This window comes from Homo sapiens, chromosome 6, assembly GCF_000001405.40.
Source record: "Homo sapiens chromosome 6, GRCh38.p14 Primary Assembly".
NCBI classification, from domain to species: Eukaryota; Metazoa; Chordata; class Mammalia; order Primates; family Hominidae; genus Homo; species Homo sapiens.
In genome coordinates, this window is record NC_000006.12 from 34,279,266 (window position 1) to 34,299,992 (window position 20,727).

Genomic DNA, 20,727 nt, shown 5'->3' on the forward strand with positions numbered 1-20,727 from the left:
CCTTCCTGATTCCACCCCACACAGAAGAAAGCAACTTCTTGTGATGCTTCCTTATTCTGGATGTGGCTCACCTCTTACCCCTTCCAACTCCTTTGGGTCCCCTAGAAAGCCTCCCTGGCTAAGGGGTACAGGCCCTCTCCTCAGCAGTGGGCACTGACCGTCTAACCAGGGCTCTGTCTCGGCACCTGGTAGCAAGGACGGCAAGATACAACAACATGCTGATTTTAATAGCCTCTGGCTTTCTCCACTGCGTTTCTCACCTGAATGCCCTGCACACCAAATCTTCCATGGGGTCACCCTTGACCTCTAGGGCAATTCCCAAGAATCTAGCAGAGGAGTGGGGGAAACCAAAAGGCTGACATGAAGGACTCAAGGGAAGCCTCTGGAAAGAAGAGACCAGACACTAAAAGGGATGTGTGTGAAATACTGGTTTTTATTGGTTGGCACAAGATTACAACCTACAATTTCAATGCCCTTCCCTCCCACACAGCTCAAATGGAAGGAAACTGATTAACACATAGAAAGGAACGGCAGGCTCACAGGTTTAAGCATTTGTTTTTACAAAAAGGAGTGGGATATGGGGGTGGTCAAGTTTTACGGGTAATAACAACATTCTCTCTAGATGGCAGGGGGTAAGTCTGCCTGTCCTCCATTGCTGGTACCACATAAGGGATACATTAGTAAAGTAGGGAAAGGGTTATATGTGTGGCTGGCCTGTTCTTTAGAGAGGAAGGTGGGATGGTATCTGCTGTGTACCTGTCTCAGACCAAACCTGGGGCTGGACCAGTGCCCCTTTCTTCTCAGCCCTCCTCCACAGCCTGACTGTACTGCCAGCCGCACCCATGAGAAGGAGGTGTGAAGGAAGCCTGAGGACATCCACCTCGAGAAAAGGAAACAGGAAAACTATTTCCTTCCGCCTTCTCTGGACCAAATTTCACTCCCCTCAGCTCCAGAGAGTGCTGCAAAAATCTTCCTTAGGGACGCTGTGAAGACACGGGGAAGAGGCCAGCCCTGAGCGGGCAAGAAGAAAAGCTTGAACTTTCCATGCAGTACCAAGCAAGGCTATTTTGGAAACAAGCAAACAAACAAAAAATGGAAACCAACACCATATAACCACAGGTTGGGTAGCTCCTAAATCCTGGACAGCATTTGGATTGGGGGTAAGGGCAATTTTACTCCAGCTCCTTGTTTTATAACCCGCACAAGGTGCCAAGAGGTTTAAGGACCACAACTGACCTCTCTTTCCCTACAAGCACCATTCCTTGGATTCCCAGTTTTGTTGAGCTCATTTGAGGTCATCCTTGCCATCCTCTTAAAAAATGACACAGCCTCTTGGTTATTCCATTTTCTATCCCTTTCTACAATTATGAACACACTCTCTAAACAGGAGATCTATATATGCTCTCATCCTGCAACCCAAGAGATTAGGTGACCTAATGATGAGAAGGCTAACTTATTTGCTTTCCTGGGTGGTCCTGATGGAAATGAACAGCAGCAGAGTTCTGGTGGGATAGAGCAGTCTAGTCTGAGCCACTGTGTGATTCCCCAGGGGACTGGTCCCTGGGTACATGGGTCCCTGGCTCTCTGTCTCAGTTCCACAGATATTACTCAACTTGGCCATTTACGCCTCAGCTAAAACATATGAGCATGAGGGAAAAGGGACAAGAAATACTTTTGTCCTCTAGAAAAACTTAACTCAATACATCTTGGCTACTTTGCCTCAACCCACGGGGTTCCCTGGAAACATTTGTTGAACTTGGCCAAGAGGAGATTGTATATGGATGGCACACCTGGAAAAGGGGAGAAAGCACACTAGTTCATCTCTTTTATAAGTAGAATGGTCCCAGGGATGTTAACCTTTCTGATGCTGATAGTAGATGAGTGGAGTGGAGGTAATCGTGAGAAAACTTAAAAACCCTTAAGCTGTTTGGAGACTACACACCACAGTGGAGCAAACCAAGGTGGGGCCTCACTGCCTCCTCAGAGCCCATCCCTGACCATGTCATTGGATAGGATGGAAGACAAAGTCTTTGAAATGGAGGCTGGGCTGGCAAAAGTAAGTATGAAGATGCTACTACTGGCCTTCCACTTCCTCTCTCTGATACACCTAAGAAGGTGAGAGACACTAGCTTCAATTCCATTTTACAACAGTTCTCAACAACCTGAAATATTCTTGACTTCCTTAAGCACATGGAAAACTGGTAAGCTATATCTTTCTAACTGAAATTTTACTTATTCTAACCACCAACCTTTTCTTTGATTATCAACCAGTTTGACAGTCTTCAGATCACAAAACAATAGAACAGACCTGACATTTACAAAACTGTACTACATACTTATTTCTTTTACAGTAGAGCTGACCAATTACTTTTCTAACTACTAATGCAACACCATGCCACTGGGCCCTGGACTCTGATGTTTCTGATCCCTGAGCAACACATCTATGTCCATTCACAGATGGAAATGAAAGAGTGAGATTCTCAGAGGCTAAACAACATTCTGGGAGCAAATTGGATTTTTGAAGGGAGAGTCCTCTTAGAAAATTCTGAGCAAACATGCTCCCAGTCACGAGGGATGGGGTGAGCGGGCAGGTTTCTGTCTGTGAGCTATAGCTCCCTTCTGAACTCCCTCATGTTCTTGGGAGGACACAAGCCTCTTGCTCATTAAGCAAAGGCCCTCCAAGTCTCCTTTTTACTTCAGCACTTTGGAAACTCTCCAAGACTTAACTTCCGATCTGGGGAGGTTCTACGTGGAGCAGACCTATCCCTTCTTATTCCTGTTCCTGGGTGTCTCCATAATCAGCCTCTACCTTCCCTGGCATAAGTCATATCTGTTATGCTGCAGGAACTGAGTAACCAAAGCTAGATATCCCTTGGACCACTGATTAGTGACACATTTTCTCCACAACAAAGGGAGGTTAAAGACAAAGGTTTAACCTGAGAAACTTTTTTTTTGGCAAGATAATAAAGAGGTTAAAGAGGCTACGTGGATCTGTCACTGCTTTAGCTTACCATTTTCAATTCAGCACCAAAGTGCTCAGAAAGACAGGCTCAGATCAGGACGACTTCTTAAAGGGATTCACAGGCAATATTACTGGCAAAATGATTTTCCAAAGCTGAGCCACGCGCCCCACCCTACAGGGAGGGGAGTAGAATCTTATGGCCCAGCATTGGCATTGAGGCATCTTGCTTTTTTTCCTCAGAATTCCACAAAGGCTTAAGAGTGATCTAAATGCCTGGCTGGAAGCTCAAGTCTAGGAGAGCTATTTTACTGCACTGTTGAGATGTTCTCTGCAAGGTAGTCACAGATAATAAGCAATTTAGTAGATAATTATTCTATACAAGAATTAATGTTCTCTGAAACAGTGATTAATAGAATCTTCACATCTGGCCTGGCTGGGAGGCTTGGGGGCAGGAAAGGGAGGGTGGAAGGATGGGTAGCACATCAAAATGGTGATGAACCTGGCAAAACGACAATGCTGCTGTTTTTGTATCCTTTAAAGCCTATATCCAGGGTTTTAAATGACGCTTTTTTTGTGTGCTTCCTGATAGGAAGTCAAATAAGTTTTAGTATTAAGAACTGGGGATATAAACCAAAGGAAACCTAGAGTCAACTGACTGCTGGAGGAACAGAAGCAATGACTTCTTTCCACCTTCTAGATAGTAATCTTACTTTTGTTGGCTAAAAGCACTTTCTTCAGCATTCTGAGTTAACACGGGTTCCCTATAAGCTCCCCTCCCCAGGTGGACAGTCTTATTTTCTAAGACAAGCTCAAAGCTCAAACTCACCAAATTACCACTATAAACAAAGCTTCAGGGAAGAGACATAACCTTACTTCAAAAGCTTCAGGTCAGAGACAGCCAAAATCATGTGACTGCTAGCCTCAGCTCAAGTAGTGTGCCCAAATCATCACAAAATGGGATTCCCTTCCCTTTTCTTTTTTTTTTTTTTTTTTTTGAGACGGAGTCTTGCTCTGTCGCCTAGGCTGCAGTGCAGTGGCGGGATCTCGGCTCACTGCAACATCCACCTCCTGGGTTCAAGCGATTCTCCTGCCTCAGCCTCCCGAGTAGCTGGGACTACAGGAGCGTGCCACTACACCTGGCTAATTTTTGTATTTTTAGTAGAGATGGGGTTTCACCATATTGGTCAGGCTGGTCTTGAACTCCTGACCTTGTGATCCACCCGCCTCGGCCTCCCAAAGTGCTGGGATTACAGGCGTGAGCCACCATGACCAGCCCTCCATTTATTAATTTATAAGGGGACTAGAAGGACAAACTATTTGATTAATTTGAAGGTGAGAGGTATCATTTTCTCAGATGCTCCAACTAGGCTTCTCACATCCCTCAAAGGTTATCAGCTAAAGACAAGAGTTTCTGAGGCTAATGCAAAAACATGGTCAAATGTGAAACCGCCCTTTTAGAGGCAGGGTTTGTGAAAGGCTGCTGGCCTCCAAAGGAGAGTATGCCTAAACTCTCTGGGCTCCCAGGACCTGTGGTGACCTCAAGCTAACCTGATGCACAGACAACAGTATCTTTTAGGGACTGCAGCCAATGTTCCCCAATTTACTTTTTTTTTATACCTTAAAATATCAAATGTTTCATTTTTAGGTGATATCCCAAGTGACACAGAAACACAGCTCCTCCGGATGGTGAAGTCTCCGCTGCAAAACTCACGAAACAGCACAGAGGATGACTCTAGGGTGCTCTCCCACTTGCTCCAAGTTAGGCAGGTGCCCTGATGGAGGCAAGGCTGAGCCATTAACATGCACAGCTCCATATCCTGGAAGCCTCTGTAGCCTTGAGGAGATAGGCTCTATCCAACAGGACTCAGAATAAATGACTGCCACCTCAACTGAGCAGTATGAACTGCCCACCTCAACTGGGCAGTCTGACCTCTTCCACAGTCTTTAAGAAACAGAAGAGCCATTTGCATTATTTAATCACCATTCAATAATCTCCTCCCTCCCCATAGCTGCTTGAGTTAACTGTCCCACAAGTGTCCTGTGTTTTGTAAAGATGAGGGTTATTTTCTGAAATGCAGATGGGACTAGGATGAAGCTGTATTATCAATTACAGAGACAGCCAACTCTCATTTCTCTTAAAGCAAAAATTCATTCCACTGTGATTTCTCCAGGTATTTCCTGCAATTCTAAATCCGCCCTTGATATTAGAGAATATTAAAATCACACAGTTGTGGCAAAAATCACATTGTGGCTATTAAATCCTTTTTGTGAACTAAAAAAAGTGAATGTGGCTTAGGCTAAGCTGTTTTTTTTTTTTTTTTTTTAAAGATGAGGATGCGGACTCCAACAAAGGCATTAAGAAAGTACTAGATGAAAATGAGAAATATGTGAAGGATAACATGTGAAATGTACACTCAGGTCTAACAAATACCTATTATTTCTCTGGTTAAGAAGGTTTAGCAGGAGCCTCCAATGAGCACTGTATGTAGAGAAAAGGGAAGGAGCAGGAGGAGGAACAGATCTGCACAGAATTTTTTTCTTAAAAACCACAAAGGGTGACTTTTTTCTTCTAAGCAAGCAAGCCTGAGAGGCATTACATGGGCTGGCTCCTAATATCAAAACAAAATATTTCTTTGCCACAAAGGAACTTGACTATGTAGCAACACATTTACAAAACTACTGCAAAACACTCCCAGAGGGCAGTGACCTACTCTGCTCCCCAGAGGCTCCAAGAAGCAAGGCCTCAAGTGCCTCATGTTCCATGGGGCTGTGCAGTGCAATGCAGAAGGCGGAAATCCTGCTGTGACGCCACCCTCGAGACCTTCTGCAGCCTGAGAGGGGGTGATACTCCCACACCCTTTGATCCTTCCAGATGGCTCAGCCTAGATCTAGCAGTGAGAGAGCCCTCTCCATGCAGGGCAGATGGAGTGGTGGACACTTGTGAAAACAAAACACTAACTGTTCCATCCTGTTATATTTGCTGTGAGGAAAATTAAGATTCCTGTTGTATGGGCTGCACTGTTTCTGGAAGACTACAGAAAATCTAACATGGTTGACACTTCCTGGTAGCCCTTCTGTACATACACACACACACACCCAGAGAGAAGACAGAGAGAAAATCCTGGTCCAAAAGATCACATGACCTTACTAGTGTTTCCCCAATGACTGTAATTTATAAACTAAAAATTTTTACAAATCCACTGCTATCTTCTTCTGTCCTGAGTTTGGTAGACTTTAATGGATGCTCCAGCAATAACCAGAATCTAGGACATGCAGACTCACTGTGAGCGAGAGGCTAGGGATCTGCCCTAAACATAGGAACCTGTTTCTATCAAGCCTGAATGAGGTCAGCTCTGGTAGAATTAATGACAAATCAATGTCAGTGAAATATTCTGCAAACAGGGTAGCTTTTGTGCTTTCTTTTGATTATTTTCTTTGGGGAGATAAAGGTATTGCAACCATGGGTCTAACTAATCTATCACTAAAGGACTGTGACGACATTCTCAATAAAGACAGTCATGGTGTTTACTGTGCCAAGGAGGGAAAATCCCAGATCATCAGAATCCCAGTGCAACAGAAAACAGCACCAGTTTCAACAATTCTGATGTTGGACAAAGCCTCTTTTTGTCAGTTAAGAAAGCGTAAGCACAATCTCTCAGTCAATTGCATTAACAGGAATCCATTCATGTCACTGAAAAATACTTCTTGGCACAGTTCACTTTCCTGACCCAAAGACACCAACAACAATCAAAACTGCACTTTCAGGGTAGTATATTGTTACACTAGCCCAGTCAAAACATACTCAGAACATTTAAAAATGTATAAATTACTGTTAGCACTGCAGTTCCGTTTTATTTTCTTATTTATTTATTAAGACAGAGTCTTACTCTGTTGCCCAGGCTGGAGTGCAGTGGCATGATCTTGGCTTACTGCAACCTCTGCCTCCCAGGTTTAAGCAATTCTCATGCTTCAGCCTACCAAGTAGCTGGGATTACAGGAGTGCACCATCATGCCCAGCTAATTTTTGTATTTTAGTAGAGATGGGGTTTTGCCATGTTGGTCAGGCTGGTCTCAAACTCCTGGCCTCAAGTGACCCACCTGCCTTGGCCTCCCAAAGTGCTGGGATTACAGGTGTGAGCCACTACACCCAGCCCTGCAGTCCCTTTTTAAAGAGTACTGACTGTTTTCCTGCAAAGTACTTTCAAATCCATACCATAAAGGTAGAATTTATCTGGAAGAATGTGTTTTTTGAATTCCACCTGGCACTTGGTTAAATCTACTTTATTTTGCCCTTTATTTATTTGAACAGAACTTTAGAATGCTCTAGGTCAGGAAAAGAAACAGTGTGTTCGTTTTTAAGAAGGATGTGTGAATAGTAAGTTGGCATTCAGACTCAAGTCCCATGGTATTGTTCTTATCCAATGGGACCTCTCCTTGGGAATATAATTCCTTTCCCAGAGGTATCATGGTATCCCAAGAATATAACTGCTCTTTGGCTCTGTGTGTGAAGATTGGGGGAGAGGATGTAAACTAAGAGTATATAGCAAAAAAAAAAAAAAAAATTTTTTTTTTTTTTTTTTGAGATGGAGTTTCACTCTTATCACCCAGGCTGGACGACAGTGGTGCAATCTCGGCTCACTGCAACCTCTGCCTCCCAGGTTCAAGCGATTATCTCGCCTCAGCCTCCCAAGTAGCTGGGATTACAGGCGCCCACCTAATTTCTGCATTTTTAGTAGAGACGGGGTTTCACCATGTTGGTCAGGCTGGTCTCAAACTCCTGACCTCAGGTGATCCACCTGCCTCAGCCTCCCAAAGTGCTGGGATTACAGGTGTGAGCCACCGTGCCCAGTGAGTAGACAGCAAAATTTAAAGTTCACCAACTGATGTTCCCAAAAGTGCTGAACACTAAATGACACAGGGCTATGAGGTACATACATTTCTTTTAGTAGGAGGGAAAAGTAAAAGCTTTTCAAAGTTTGAGTGCTTTATTAGAATTTTTAAATGAGGCGAACTATGATTTTAATTTCACATCTTGGCTAAGGAGATGCCACTGGAGTACAGAGATAATCTCCTGTCTTAAGCCACGGATCAGTCAGTGTAGCCCTCCCTACCCCTCAATCTCAAGACCCTCTTACTTCCGAACTAAACAACACAATTGGCAAATGAAGCCAGCACGAAACTGTATCAAAAAACAAGAGAGTCTGCAGTGAGCCAGTGTATTATGTAACCACTGTAATAAGTGATTACGTGGCCTCCCATATGGACCTTTCATATCCTGGTGGGAGATGGGAGACCAATTTAATAGCTCTGAGCATGCTCCATGGTGCAATCACAAGTGCCATGCCAATACAAAGACAAGCAAGCAGGTGAATTTCCCTAGTGTACTTTTCAGGAACACGGTTACTCAGTTCAGGGACAGGACTACATTGATGCACCTGCAAAGTAAAGTTGGATGCTTCAGAGCACATGGATGATACCCAGGTCAGCACGGTGTAAGGCATATATGGACACAAAGAGAGGCCATTGTTGGCAATAAATAGCATTACGGAAAAGATTCCAAACCAGCAGAACAGAAATGGACCTGATGCTCCAGTTTTTTAGATAAGTAATCCCAAGAATCCAGTTCCAACTCTACTGTCAACATGTGGGGCAGAATTCAATTTCTATCATTGTTTTTACAGATCTGGGCTGAGGCCATTTGCTCCTTGCTTGGTTAAAAAAAAATAAAAAAATAAAAAAAGGTTTCTTCCTGTTTCTTTCTGGGCAGGGAAATACAGCTTAAAGAAGGAAAGGCCATGAGTCCTGGGAGCACTATGAAGGTAGCTAAACTCTTCCCATATCTACAGTCAATGACTGGGAAATAGAGAAAGGACAGGGCAACCTGCCCAGCCACTAGCATCGAAAACAAAAAGGTATGTTAATTGTGAGGCTCTCAATTCTAGAAATGCCCAAATTAAAAGAGAAAAAAACCTTGAAAAATTAAACAAATTTCTCTTTCTAGAAGTCATTTATTTACATATTATATGTCCGATATATAATGTGTAGATAAATGTATACTGCAGTGAAAGTGACCACTCTACTGAACTGTACAGCACATTATAGGACAAATTATTGGAAGTTTTCATCTCATACTGGTATCTTTTAATAAAAAAAAAAAATTAAAAATCAAAGAAAACGTCTGGCCAGGGCCAGGATAAGACAAACAGGAACACTTCAGAATCCAAGGCAGGGGAAGGCTGTTGGCCTCTCTTCAGAGGACTGCAGGGGTGGGAAGAGGGAGGGACAGATCATGCACAAAAGTACTTACAAATTACACACCCAACCCCCACCCTCAATAAAAACAGAAGAAAAAGCCCCATCACTTAACACCAAACAGCAACATTATCAATACACCCTTTCTTTGCTGCCCACCATGCCTTATTTGAAAGAGGAGGCCTGTGAGAAGTGGAAAGAGCCAGGGTGAGAGGGAAGATTTGCACTTCAGTCTAGTTTCCAATTTCCATTTCTCTTACAGGAAGTCTTCAGTCATCTGATGCCTGACATCGAGCTCTGAGCAGAAACCGAGTATGTGGTGGCCACGACTGGGGTGCCATTGTTGGCTGAGTAGCCTTGCCTCAATGTTTCAAAATATGATGCCTGCACGGGTTTGTGATACTGCAGCACTTTTATGGCGTCTTCTATTTTAAACCATTCCCTCTTCCTTCCTGTGGAGGCAGAGAGAAAAGAAACTAGTACAAGAGTAATAAGGTTTCTGAGCCTAGAACTTTTGAGAAAATATAGAAAACATTAAAGCAATGTTTCTTAACACTTTTTTTCCTTACAAAAATAACTCAAGCACACTTCATATGCTTCAAATATTATATCAATGTCTAATGCAGAAAGGTGAGAAACCTGAAAACCAAAGAGCTAAGAGTAATTGTGTAAAACCTGCCCTCCAGAGAGAACTACGGCTAGTGTTTTCCTCCTGCCCTCCTGCGTCTCTGAGCTTTCCTTGCTTGCACATACATAGGGATCAAAGCCCAGCAGCATCCCCATCTCCTGTAAAAACTGACATGAGGGCCGGATGAGGTGGCTCACGCCTACAATCCCAGCACTTTAGGAGGCTAAGGTGGGCGGATCGCTTGAGCCCAGGAGTTTGAGACTGGCCTGAGCAACATGGCAAAACTCTGTCTCTACAAAAAATACAAAAATTAGCTGGGCATGGTAGCATGTGCCTGTACTCCCAGCTACCCAGGAGGCTGAGGTGGGAGGATCACCTGAGCCCGGAAGGTCGCGGCTGCAGTGAGCTGTCATCGCGCCACTGCACTCCAGCAGGGTGACAGAGTGAGACCCTGTCCCAAGGGGGGAAAAATCAACACGAGCATCAGCTTCCAGAATTACTAGGATGGCTGGTTTGTAATCAGTAATTCATTTAAAAGTTTTCTTATAAGAGTGAATTTATCTACATAATAGAAAATATTTCTTAAAAGAAGTAAAAATAATCTCAATACAATCACACTTTTATTTTTCAGTCTATTTTCTTACTCTTTTCTAGTCCATGCTTTAAAATCCTTTATATTTTTTATCTTATAAAAGTAATAACTACCCATAATCTTATAAACCAGAAAAAACCACTCTCAATACCCTAGCACAACTGCCCTTTTTTCATATACTTGAAAAAGAAACAATCTTGAGACAACCAAAATTGGATCATGCTTTCAGGTACTCTGAATCCTGACCAGCTCTGCTAGAGTGTTATGGTCAGGAACAAGGACTCTGAAGCCAAAGTGCTGGGCTCCAATCACATAAATGGCTCCAATGAGCTGTGCAGCCTCAGGTAGCTGTGTTCCTGCTCCATTTTCCTCATCTATAAAACAGACAATAAATAGGGCCTATCTCACAAGTCTGTTATGACTATTAGTATGGAAAGCACCTGAAGAGTAACTGGCTGCTAAAAGAATGTGCTGCTGAATTTGCTTTTTAATTTTTGTTACTGGTTTTTACTTCATGTTATTTTTTCTTTTCTTTTTCTTTCTCTCTTTTTTTTTTTTCCAGAGATAGGATCTCACAGGCTGGATTGCAGTGGTATGATCATAGTTCACTGCAAACTCAAGCTCCCGAACACGAGGGATCTTCCTGCCCCAGCCTTCCAAGTAGCTAGGACTACAAGCACGTGCCACACCTGCTGCTGCTTCTTTTTTTTTTTTTTTTTTTTTTGGTATAAATGAGGTCTCAAATTCCTGGCCTCAAGTGATCCTCCTGCCTTAGCCTCCCAAAGTACTTGGAATTACAGGCATGAGCCACCACACCTGTCCTATGTCACACTATTTCTTAAGCAATCTATATTATGAAAAAAATATGAGACATTGCCATTGCTAGAAAGGCTAAGGCAGGAGGACTGCTTGAACCCAGGAGGTTGAGGCTGCAGTGAGCTGTGATCATGCCACTGTACTCCAGTCTGGACAACAGAGTGAGACTGTCTTTTTTTTTAAGACATTTATGGCTGCATTATGTCATAGTATCTAGTATGGATGTATTATCATTCACTTAAGCATTTCCATATCACTGGACATCAATTGTCTGTGATTATTATTATTATTATTATTGAGACAGAGTCTCAGTCTGTCACCCAGGCTGGAGTACAGCGATGTGATCCCGGCTCACTGCAACCTCTGCCTCCCAGGCTCAAGCAATTCTCATGGCTCAGCCTCTCAAGTAGCTGGGATTACAGGCGCCCACAACCACACCCAGCTAATTTTTGTTTATTTATTGAGACGGAGGCTCACTCCGTCATGCAGGCTGGAGTGCAGTGGCGTTATCTTAGCTCACTGCAATCTCCGCCTCCCGGGTTCAAGCAATTCTCCTGCCTCAGCCCCCAAGTAGCTGGGACTACAGGTGCACACCACCACGCCCAGCTAATTTTTGTATTTTTAGTAGAGATGGGGTTTCAGCATGTTGGACAGGCTGGTCTCGAACTCCTGACCTCAAGTGATTCACCCGCCTTGGCCTCCCAAAGTGCTGGGATTACAAACGTGATCCACCATGCCCAGTGATTTTAATTATTATAAATAATGCTATTTTTTTAAAACGTTCCCCGTTTTTTCTTTCTTTTTAACCTTCTAGGGAAAGATATCTAGCACAAGAACTACAAAAATAGAGCTTCTGAACTTTCAAGGGCTCCTGATTTATACTGCAAAAGTGCTTTACAGAAAGGCGACACTGATCCCCAGTCCTGCTTGTGTATGTCAGGATGTCAGTCTCACCACATTCCTGCCAATATTAGCTTTTCTTTAACATTGACAAAAATTTTTTTTTTTGAAACAGTCTTATCTGTTGCCCAGGCTGGAGTGCATTGGTGTATTCTTGGCTCACTGCAACCTCCACCTCCTAGGTTCAAGTTATTCTCCTGCCTCAGCTTCCTGAGTAGCTGAAATTACAGGTGTGTGCCACCATGCCTGGCTAATTTTTGTATTTTTAGTAGAGATGGGGTTTCACCATGTTGGCCAGGCTGGTCTCGAACTCCTGACCTCAAGTGATTCGCCTGCCTCAGCCTCCCAAAGCGCTGGGATTACAGGCGTGAGCCACTGCAACTGCAGTTTAACAGGGTGGTGTTAAACTATGGTGTTTAACAGCTGTATAACATTCCATCGGACACATGTCATTCATTGATTTGTCATTCATTGAGTTATACATTTAAGATGCAAATTTTAACCAGTAAGAATAATGGTAGTAAGATCATCTGAAGGAAGGCTCCATAGCTTGTCATATTTTAGATTATTTCATTAGGGTCAATTCTCAGAAGTGGGAGTACAAGGTGAAAGGCTTGTTTGAATATTAATAGAGCAATGGTACCTAAAAAAATTAGTATCACAAGTGTATGACTCCTGCCTGACAGAGAGTGCTCTGAGGATAGGGCCACACCACACATCCACCGCAGTCTCCTTTTCAAGCTCTAGCACACCTGTTAGGGAGTCTGTTTTCAGTATATCCACACTGAATTTATTTCCTTGAGCACCCTGCATTATTACTAGACACAAAGCCATCAAGAGCCAAAGGGCTACGAACTGCCCAGAGTAACAATGTGAGGGGCATGGCGGCAAGGCAAACACTAACATTAAAGTGAGAATGTTGGCAAATAAATTTTATCTGTCTGCCAATTTGTAATGGAAATTAGTGTTCTCCTTTCTAGAATACACTTTCCTTCAGAAGTAAACAATCAAACCATGAACCAACCTTTGTACCACCACAGTTTATAGTTCCAAAGATGTAAACGTAACAGCCATCTGAGATCAAAGAAAATGGCTCCTTTGGGAGAAAGTTGGGTGTACCTAAAGGGTACACACAGCACCTTTTGTAAAAGTTCATAAATTTTATCATTTTTATATTCATATAAAATATGAAAAAATATAAAAATATATATTATAGATATATTCATATTTTATAAGAATAAAACTAGAAACCACCTGCACTATTCTGTATCTACTAAATGATTTCTGGAGGGACTCACACCACCAAACCAACAGTTTTCTCAACAATATAAATGTCATGAGGAACAAGACCAGGGTCCTGCTCTCACTTATGGTCCCCATGGCCAGCAGTGAGCCTGGCATGGCGGAGGCCCTCAATCAGTATCTGCTCAGGAGGTGCAGAAGTATAGCCCTTTTGGCAAGGACCCAGTTTGATTTTAGAAGCAACATTTCTTATTTTTAGGGGTCATGCTTCTATTTGTGGACCATGTACTCACTTCAGATTCCATTTAAACATTTCAAAATACTATCAGGTTCAAAATGTACATGCTTGTTTTATTATACACATCCTTCAATTATTTCTATTCTTTATCCAGCTCTTGTTGTTCTGTTTTTTTGTTTGTTTTTGAGACAGAGTCTCACTCTGTTGCCTAGGCTGGAGTGCAGTGGCATGATTATGGCTCAATGTGACCTCAAACTCCCAAGCACAAATGATCTTCCTGCTTCAGCCTCCTGAGAAGCTGCGACCACAGGCATGTGCCACCACGCCGAGCTAAGTCTTCTGATTTTTGTAGAGATGAGGTCTTACTAGGTTGCCAAGACTGGTCTAGAACTCTGGGCTCAGGTGATCCTCCTGTGTTGGCCTTCCAAAGTACTGGGGTTATAGGTGTGAGCCACTGAGCCTGGTACGCTCTTGTTTCTGGTTCTGGTCATGACCTGTGGCATGGCAAGGGCTGGTTGTGAGGAACCCTTTCCAGGCTGTCTGGAGATGGCTTACCAATGTTAACTGAATCTTCCCAGTCTTCCAGCACTTCAGTGACAATGAGCACATAGACATACGTCCTGTGCTTCCTCTCCTGGTTCTGAAGGGCAAAGAGAGAAGGATAGAGAGAGTTTTTCCTTAGAAAGCTGGAATTACTTAAATGAAACACACTCTTATGCATATGTCCAGAGAGCTCAGACACAAAGATTCTAAACTTTTACTTTTTATGGTCCTACAGTTATAGCTACATGATTTAAAGCAGGCCACACTTGAATTTGAGGGTGTGCTCTTTGGCTGGACTTCTAAAACCAAGTAATTATATTGGTTTTTCCTCCCCTTCCCCTAAATACAACTTAACAGGAATACTATGAGAAGAAAAAGGCATCATGTAAATTTAACTAGCTAGACCACCAGGGAGAGGACTGTGGATGGGTGGGCTACCACAGAGGTCTCAAACTTCAGTGACCCCAGCAAGGCAAACAAGCTGAGTGTGACACACACACACACCCACCCACACCCCTCTTCCCACCCACACCCCTTTTCCCACTAACCCCACTTACCTTATTTTTTGAGAGAGAGCCTTACTTTGTCACCTACGGTAGAGCGCAGTGGCATGATCATGGCTCACCACAGCCTTGACCTTCCTGAGCTTAGGTGATCTTCTCACCTCAGCTTCTTGAGTAGCTGGTACAGGTGCACATCACCATGCCCTGCTAATTTTTGTATTTTTAGTAGAGACAGGGTTTCACCATGTTGGCCAGGCTGGTCTCAAACTCCTGACCTCAAGTGATCCGCATGCCTAGGCCTGGGAAAGTGCTGGGATTACATATGTGAGCCACCACACCCAGCCAATTTTTGTATTTTTTTGTAGAGACAGGATTTCACCATGTTGCCCAGGCTGGTCTTAAACTCCTAGGCTCAAGTGATCCTCCCACTTTGGCCTCCCAAAATGCTGGGATTACAGGCATGAGCCACAGTGCCCAGCCACCTTTTAAAAAAATTTATTTATTGCCAGGGGCGGTGGCTCATGCTTGTAATTCCAGCACTATGGGAGGCCAAGGTGGGTGGATCACCTGAGGTCAGGAGTTCCAGACCAGCCTGGCCAACATGGTGAAACCTGTCTCTACTAAAAATACAAAAACTGGCCAGATGTGGTGGCGGGCACTTGTAATCTCAGCTACTTGGGAGACTGAGGCAGGAGAATCACTTGAACCTGGGAGGCGGAGGTTGTGGTGAGCCGACATCGCACCATTGCACTCCAGCCTGGGTGACAGAGCAAGACTCTGTCTCAAAAAAAAAAAAAAGATTTATTTACATATCTATTTTTTCATCAGAGACCTTTCTTCTGACATTTTTATTTTGTAAACTTTTTGTAGAGATAGAGTCTCACTCTGTTGCTCAGGTTGGTCTTGAACTTCTACCCTCAAGAGATCTTCCTGTGTCAGCTTCCCAAAACGCTGGGATTATAGGTGTGAGCCACCACGCCCAGCATCTGCTCATCTTGATTTCTCCTGATTTCTCACTTTTCCCTGCCTTCTTTCAAATTTGTATCACAGCTTATTTCCTTGTTTTTCCTCTCTTTGTTATAGTTACTTATCTTCTATTTTTCTTCTCTCTCTCTACACTTAGCTACCTTTCCTCCTACCTTGGTAGGAGACAAAGAAAAGTAGGAATGGGGTAAAATAATATTTAAAAATAATTCTAGTAGTTTAGGGGACAAGACTATGGGATTTCCTTCTTTCTTTCTTTTTTTTTTAAAGCATGTTATTCTCTGTTGGTGTTGCTTTCTTTAAAAAACTCACCGAGGTTGGGCATGGTGGCTGAAGCCTGTAATCCTGGCATTTTGGGAGGCTGAGGCAGGAGGATCGCTTAAACGCAGGAGTTTGAGACCAGCCTGGGCAACATGGCAAGACCCTGTCTCTACAAAAAATTTAAAAATTTAGAAGGATGGTGGTGTATCCATGTAGTCTCACCTACCTGGGAGGCTGATGCAGAAGACTGCTTGAGCCCAGGAGTTCAAGGCTGCAGTGAGCTATGACTGTGCCACTGCACTCCAGCCTGGGCGAGAGTGAGACCTTGTCTCAAAAAGTTAAAAATAACTAAAAAAAAAAAAACTCGCTGAAACAGAAATGGCATTTTTCCTATGTTAATATCTGTGTGGTTATTAATACATATCATTTGTACCAAAGATTTTAACAGACTTACCTCAAAAATTCCAACTAATCTTCCCAATGTCCCTTTTACTCCAGCCTAGAAAGTGAAAAGAACAATTAATGCACTGATAGTATTATATTGCTGGTCTCATTCTGAGTCTTCTTAAGCAGTTTATAAAATAGAAACAAAAAACAAGAGGACACAGCTTGGGCAGACTCCACGATCTGTGAAGTGATACCAGTGTTTCCTGTGTGTCACCGACTACTAACCTGCTAACAGCTGTGTATGCTCTGGGAAGTTAGAATGCCTTTCATTTCTTCTGGTCTCTCTCCCTACTGCAAAGCTAGCCAAGCAGAGCAAGATCATCAGGCCATGAAGCCACCACACCAAAAATATTCTGAGGTATTGATTACTTCAGGCCAGGCACTGCCACTCTGGGAGGCTGAATTGGGAGGATCGCTTGAGGATAAGAGTTCAAGATCAGTTTGGTCAACATAGCAAGATCCTGCCTCTAAAAATTTGTTTTTAAATTAGCCAGTCATGGCAGCATGTGGCTATAGTCCCAGCTACTGGGGAGGCTAAGGTGAGAGGATCACCTGAGCCCAGGAGTTCAAGGTTGCAATGAGCTATGATTGCACCACTGCACTCCAGCCTGGGTGACAAAGTGAGACCATGTCTCAAAAATAAATAAATTAATTAATTGGTTGGGTACTATGGCTCATGCCTGTAATCCCAGCACTTTGGGAAGCTGAGGCGGGTGGATCACTTGAGCTCAGGAGTTCGAGACCAGGCTGGGCAACATGGTGAAACCCTGTCTCTACAAAAAATACAAAAATTAGTTGGGTGTGATGGTGCATGCCTGTAGTCCCAGCTACTCGGGAGGCTGAGGTGGGAGGGTTGTTTGGGTCCAGGAGGTGGAGGCTGCAGTGAGCCGAGATCACACCACTGCACTCCAGCCTGGGTGACAGAGCCAGACCCTGTCGGTAAATACATACATACATACATACACGCATACATACATACATAGATTACTTCATTCACTTATTCATTCAACAAATACATACTAAATGCCTAATTTGAACCAGAAAACAGTATATGTGCCAGCGATGTAACAGTGAATAGGCTAGAACGCAAGATCCCATGGGATTAAGACCCTGCTCTGACTTGGCTGTCTGTATACAATATGGTGGAAGAGAGTTTGGCACCCTGCAAGAACTCAAGAAAGCCTAGATGAACAAGAACATAAACATGGTAATTCTGCTACGGGTAAGTATCATGACAGAAATACACAGAGTGATGTGATGACAAGGAGTGGCAGGAAGAGGGATAACTTCAGTGGTTAGACCTTTTTTTTTTTTTTTTGAGACAGTCTCGCTCTGTCACCCAGGCTGGAGTGCAGTGGTGTGATTTTGGCTCACTGCAACATCCATCTCCCGGGTTCAAGCGATTCTCCCACCTCAGCCTCCCAAGTAGCTGGGACTACAGGTGCCCGCCACCACGCCCGGCTAATTTTTTCTATTTTTTAGTAGAGACAGGGTTTCACCATGTTAGCCAGGATGGTCTCGATCTCCTGACCTCGTGATCCGCCCATCTCAGTCTCCCAAAGTGCTGGGATTACAGGCGTGAGTCACCGCGCCTGGCCTGCCTTTTCTTAAATAAGAAAACAGTAACTTGCTTCTCTACATTTTTATAAATAACTGCCCTCCACAGCCAGCTAAAACTAGCTAGCTTATACTTCATGAATTAACCAGTGAAGCTGCCTGACAAGTGGGACAAGCTGCCAGGCCAGCCTGGGTTGGAAAGGCAGTTCTGTACTCTGATCCCAGGCAGCCTGAACACACTCTGCTCATCTCCTGAGACATGTCACCTGTGCTCCTGCCACAAGCCTCCACTGAGGGTCTGGAAGGAGAGCTGTTGGGGCAGATGAGAGCCTTGGGGGACAGAGGTAAGAAAAGTCATTGTTTTTTTTTTTTTTTTAACTCTTGTCGCCCAGGCTGGAGTGCAGTGGCATGATCTCGGCTCACTACAACCTCCGTCTCCCAGGTTCAAGCGATTCTCTTGCCTCAGCCTCCTGAGTAGCTGGCACCACAGGTGTCCTACAGGTGCACATCACTACACCCGGCTAATGTAAAAAAAAAAAAATATATATATATATATATATATATATATAATTTTTTTTTTTTTTTTAGTAGAGACGGGGTTTCATCATATTGGCCAGGCTGGTCTTGAACTCCTGACCTCATGATCTGCCCGCCTCAGCCTCCCAAAGTGCTGGGATTACAGGTGTGAGCCACTGCACCCGGCCCAAGAAAAGATTTAAGAGGCCATCATTCACCTTTCTCCTCCACAAAGGAGAAAGTAGTCTCTTTAGCAGCTACTATCCAATATTTTTTTCTTAAACTAGAAGTTTATGAAACAATCTCCAAACTTTTAGGGCACAAATCAACTTAACATTATGACAACTCAATATAATTAATTTAAAACTTGTTTGGCTGGGCACGGTGGCTCAAGCCTGTAATCCCAGCACTTTGGGAGGCCGAGGTAGGTGGACTGCTTGAGCCCAAGAGTTCGAGACCAGCCTGGGCAATAAGGTGAAACCCCATCTCTACAAAATACAAAAAATTAGCTGGGGATGGTGGCACATGCCCATAGTCCCAGCTACTCAGGAGGCTGAAGTGGGAGGATCACCCCAGCTCAGGAAGTCAAGGCTGCAGTGAGCCATGACTGCACCACTGTACTTCCAGCCTGGGCAACAGAGACATCTTGTCTCAAAAAAACAAAACAAAATAACTTCAAAACACAAAATTTCGTTTAATAATAGTAACCTCTGCTTTCGACACCAACATATATCTGTGATTCACTCTGTGTCAGATGCAGTTAAGAAAAATGTAAAAGTACCTATTTGAAATAGACACAAATGTGTAAAATCTAGTGTAAATCAAATTATGCTGCCATTTGTACACCAACATTTCAGTGGTATTTTTCACTTCTAATTAGTCTTTCACCTTGTAGAATGTAGAAACTAATGATGTTTGTTTGTTTAAAGAGATGGTGTCTATGTTGCCCAGCCGGCCTCAAACTCCTGGGATCAAGCAATTCTCCTGCCTCAGCCTCCTGAGTAGCTGGGATTACAGGTGCATGCCACCACACATGGCTAATGATACTTTTTATTTGTCCCTTAGCCTTTCTTTCATAATATTTATGGGATCTAATTAGCAGAATTCTATTTAATGTGATCTTACCAATAATTCTATAGTATAAAGCAAATAAATATTTCCCTATTTACCAATTTTAAAAATTGGAATTCAGCACTTTTCTCAGGAAGAGGTCCCCCCTTTAGTAAAAGGATTTCAGTTCTTTAAAGTCATAGTGCTGACAAAAAAGAAAAATTTCTCACAGGCAAAGGTTCTCCCAGACAGCTTACCTTAACTATCTTACTTTTTCACAATTTTCCCAGACTCAGAGTCCAACTTTCATCTCCTAGTTTTTTCTCAAATGCTGCCACAAGCAATCTGAGAGTGGGTTATTTTTATCTGTCACATGATTCCTGCATGCAGGTCGGGATATGTGTCAGGGCCACATCTGACAGATATTTGGCTCACACATTTGGGGATAAGATTGAATTCAAGGGTATATTAAATTTGGTCCCATCAGGATGCTGGTATGGATCTGTCTTTTGCAAAATTATACGAAAGCAGTTACAATTTCAATCTATATGTCAAAAGCCACTAATCTAGAGAGGGAGTCTTTATTTAAAAGTCCATCTTAGTAGAGATAATTCTTTCACCCTTTTCTAGTACTTTAGGCCTGGTTAACAAAAATAATCTGAACAATTGCCTACCCTTTTTCTTTTTTTTAAGAGACAGGGTCTCACTCTGTCGCCCAGGCTAGGGCGCATGGTCATAGCTCACTGCAGCCTTGAACTCCTGGGCTCAAGTGATCCTCCTGTCTTAGCCTCCCAAGTAGCTGGGGCTATAGGCATGTGCCACCAAGACCGGGTATTTTCTTGAATTTTTTTTTTTTTTTTTTTTAAAGTCCAGGTGTGGTGACTCACGCCTATAATCCCAGCACTTTGGGAGACTGAGGCAGGTGGATCACCTGAGGTCAGGAGTTCAAGACCAGCCTGGCCAACACGGCAAAACCCCATCTCTACTAAAAACACAAAAATTACCCGGGCGTGGTGGGTGCCCATAATCCCAGCTATTCAGGTGGGTGAGGCAGGAGAATCACTTGAACCCAGGAGGCAGACACTGCAGTGAGCCAAGATTGTGACACTGCACTCCAGCCTGGGTGACACAGTGAGACTGTCTCAAAAAAAAAAAAAATATTTTTTTTATTTTTGAGAGACAGGGTTTCGCTGTGTCACCCAGGCTGGTCTTGATATCCTGGTCTCAAGCAATCCT

The 20,727-nt window shown here is 43.4% G+C and overlaps 2 protein-coding genes across 2 annotated transcripts in view; both read right to left on the reverse strand.

The window, feature by feature from the left end:
- Positions 1–413: 413 nt before the first annotated feature.
- The window catches only part of NUDT3 (nudix hydrolase 3), a 112,991-nt gene continuing 92,677 nt past the window's right edge, over positions 414–20,727 (reverse strand). Inside the window, exons 3-5 of the mRNA NM_006703.4 lie at positions 16,376–16,420; positions 14,186–14,270; positions 414–9,666 (exon numbers count right to left, since the gene is read on the reverse strand). Of these exons, the coding sequence (NP_006694.1) occupies positions 9,488–9,666; positions 14,186–14,270; positions 16,376–16,420 (309 nt within the window). The 3' untranslated portion in view covers positions 414–9,487. The remainder of the gene's footprint in view (positions 9,667–14,185; positions 14,271–16,375; positions 16,421–20,727) is intronic.
- RPS10-NUDT3 (RPS10-NUDT3 readthrough) overlaps positions 7,929–20,727 on the reverse strand; it is a 138,876-nt gene continuing 126,077 nt past the window's right edge. Inside the window, exons 7-9 of the mRNA NM_001202470.3 lie at positions 16,376–16,420; positions 14,186–14,270; positions 7,929–9,666 (exon numbers count right to left, since the gene is read on the reverse strand). Of these exons, the coding sequence (NP_001189399.1) occupies positions 9,488–9,666; positions 14,186–14,270; positions 16,376–16,420 (309 nt within the window). The 3' untranslated portion in view covers positions 7,929–9,487. The remainder of the gene's footprint in view (positions 9,667–14,185; positions 14,271–16,375; positions 16,421–20,727) is intronic.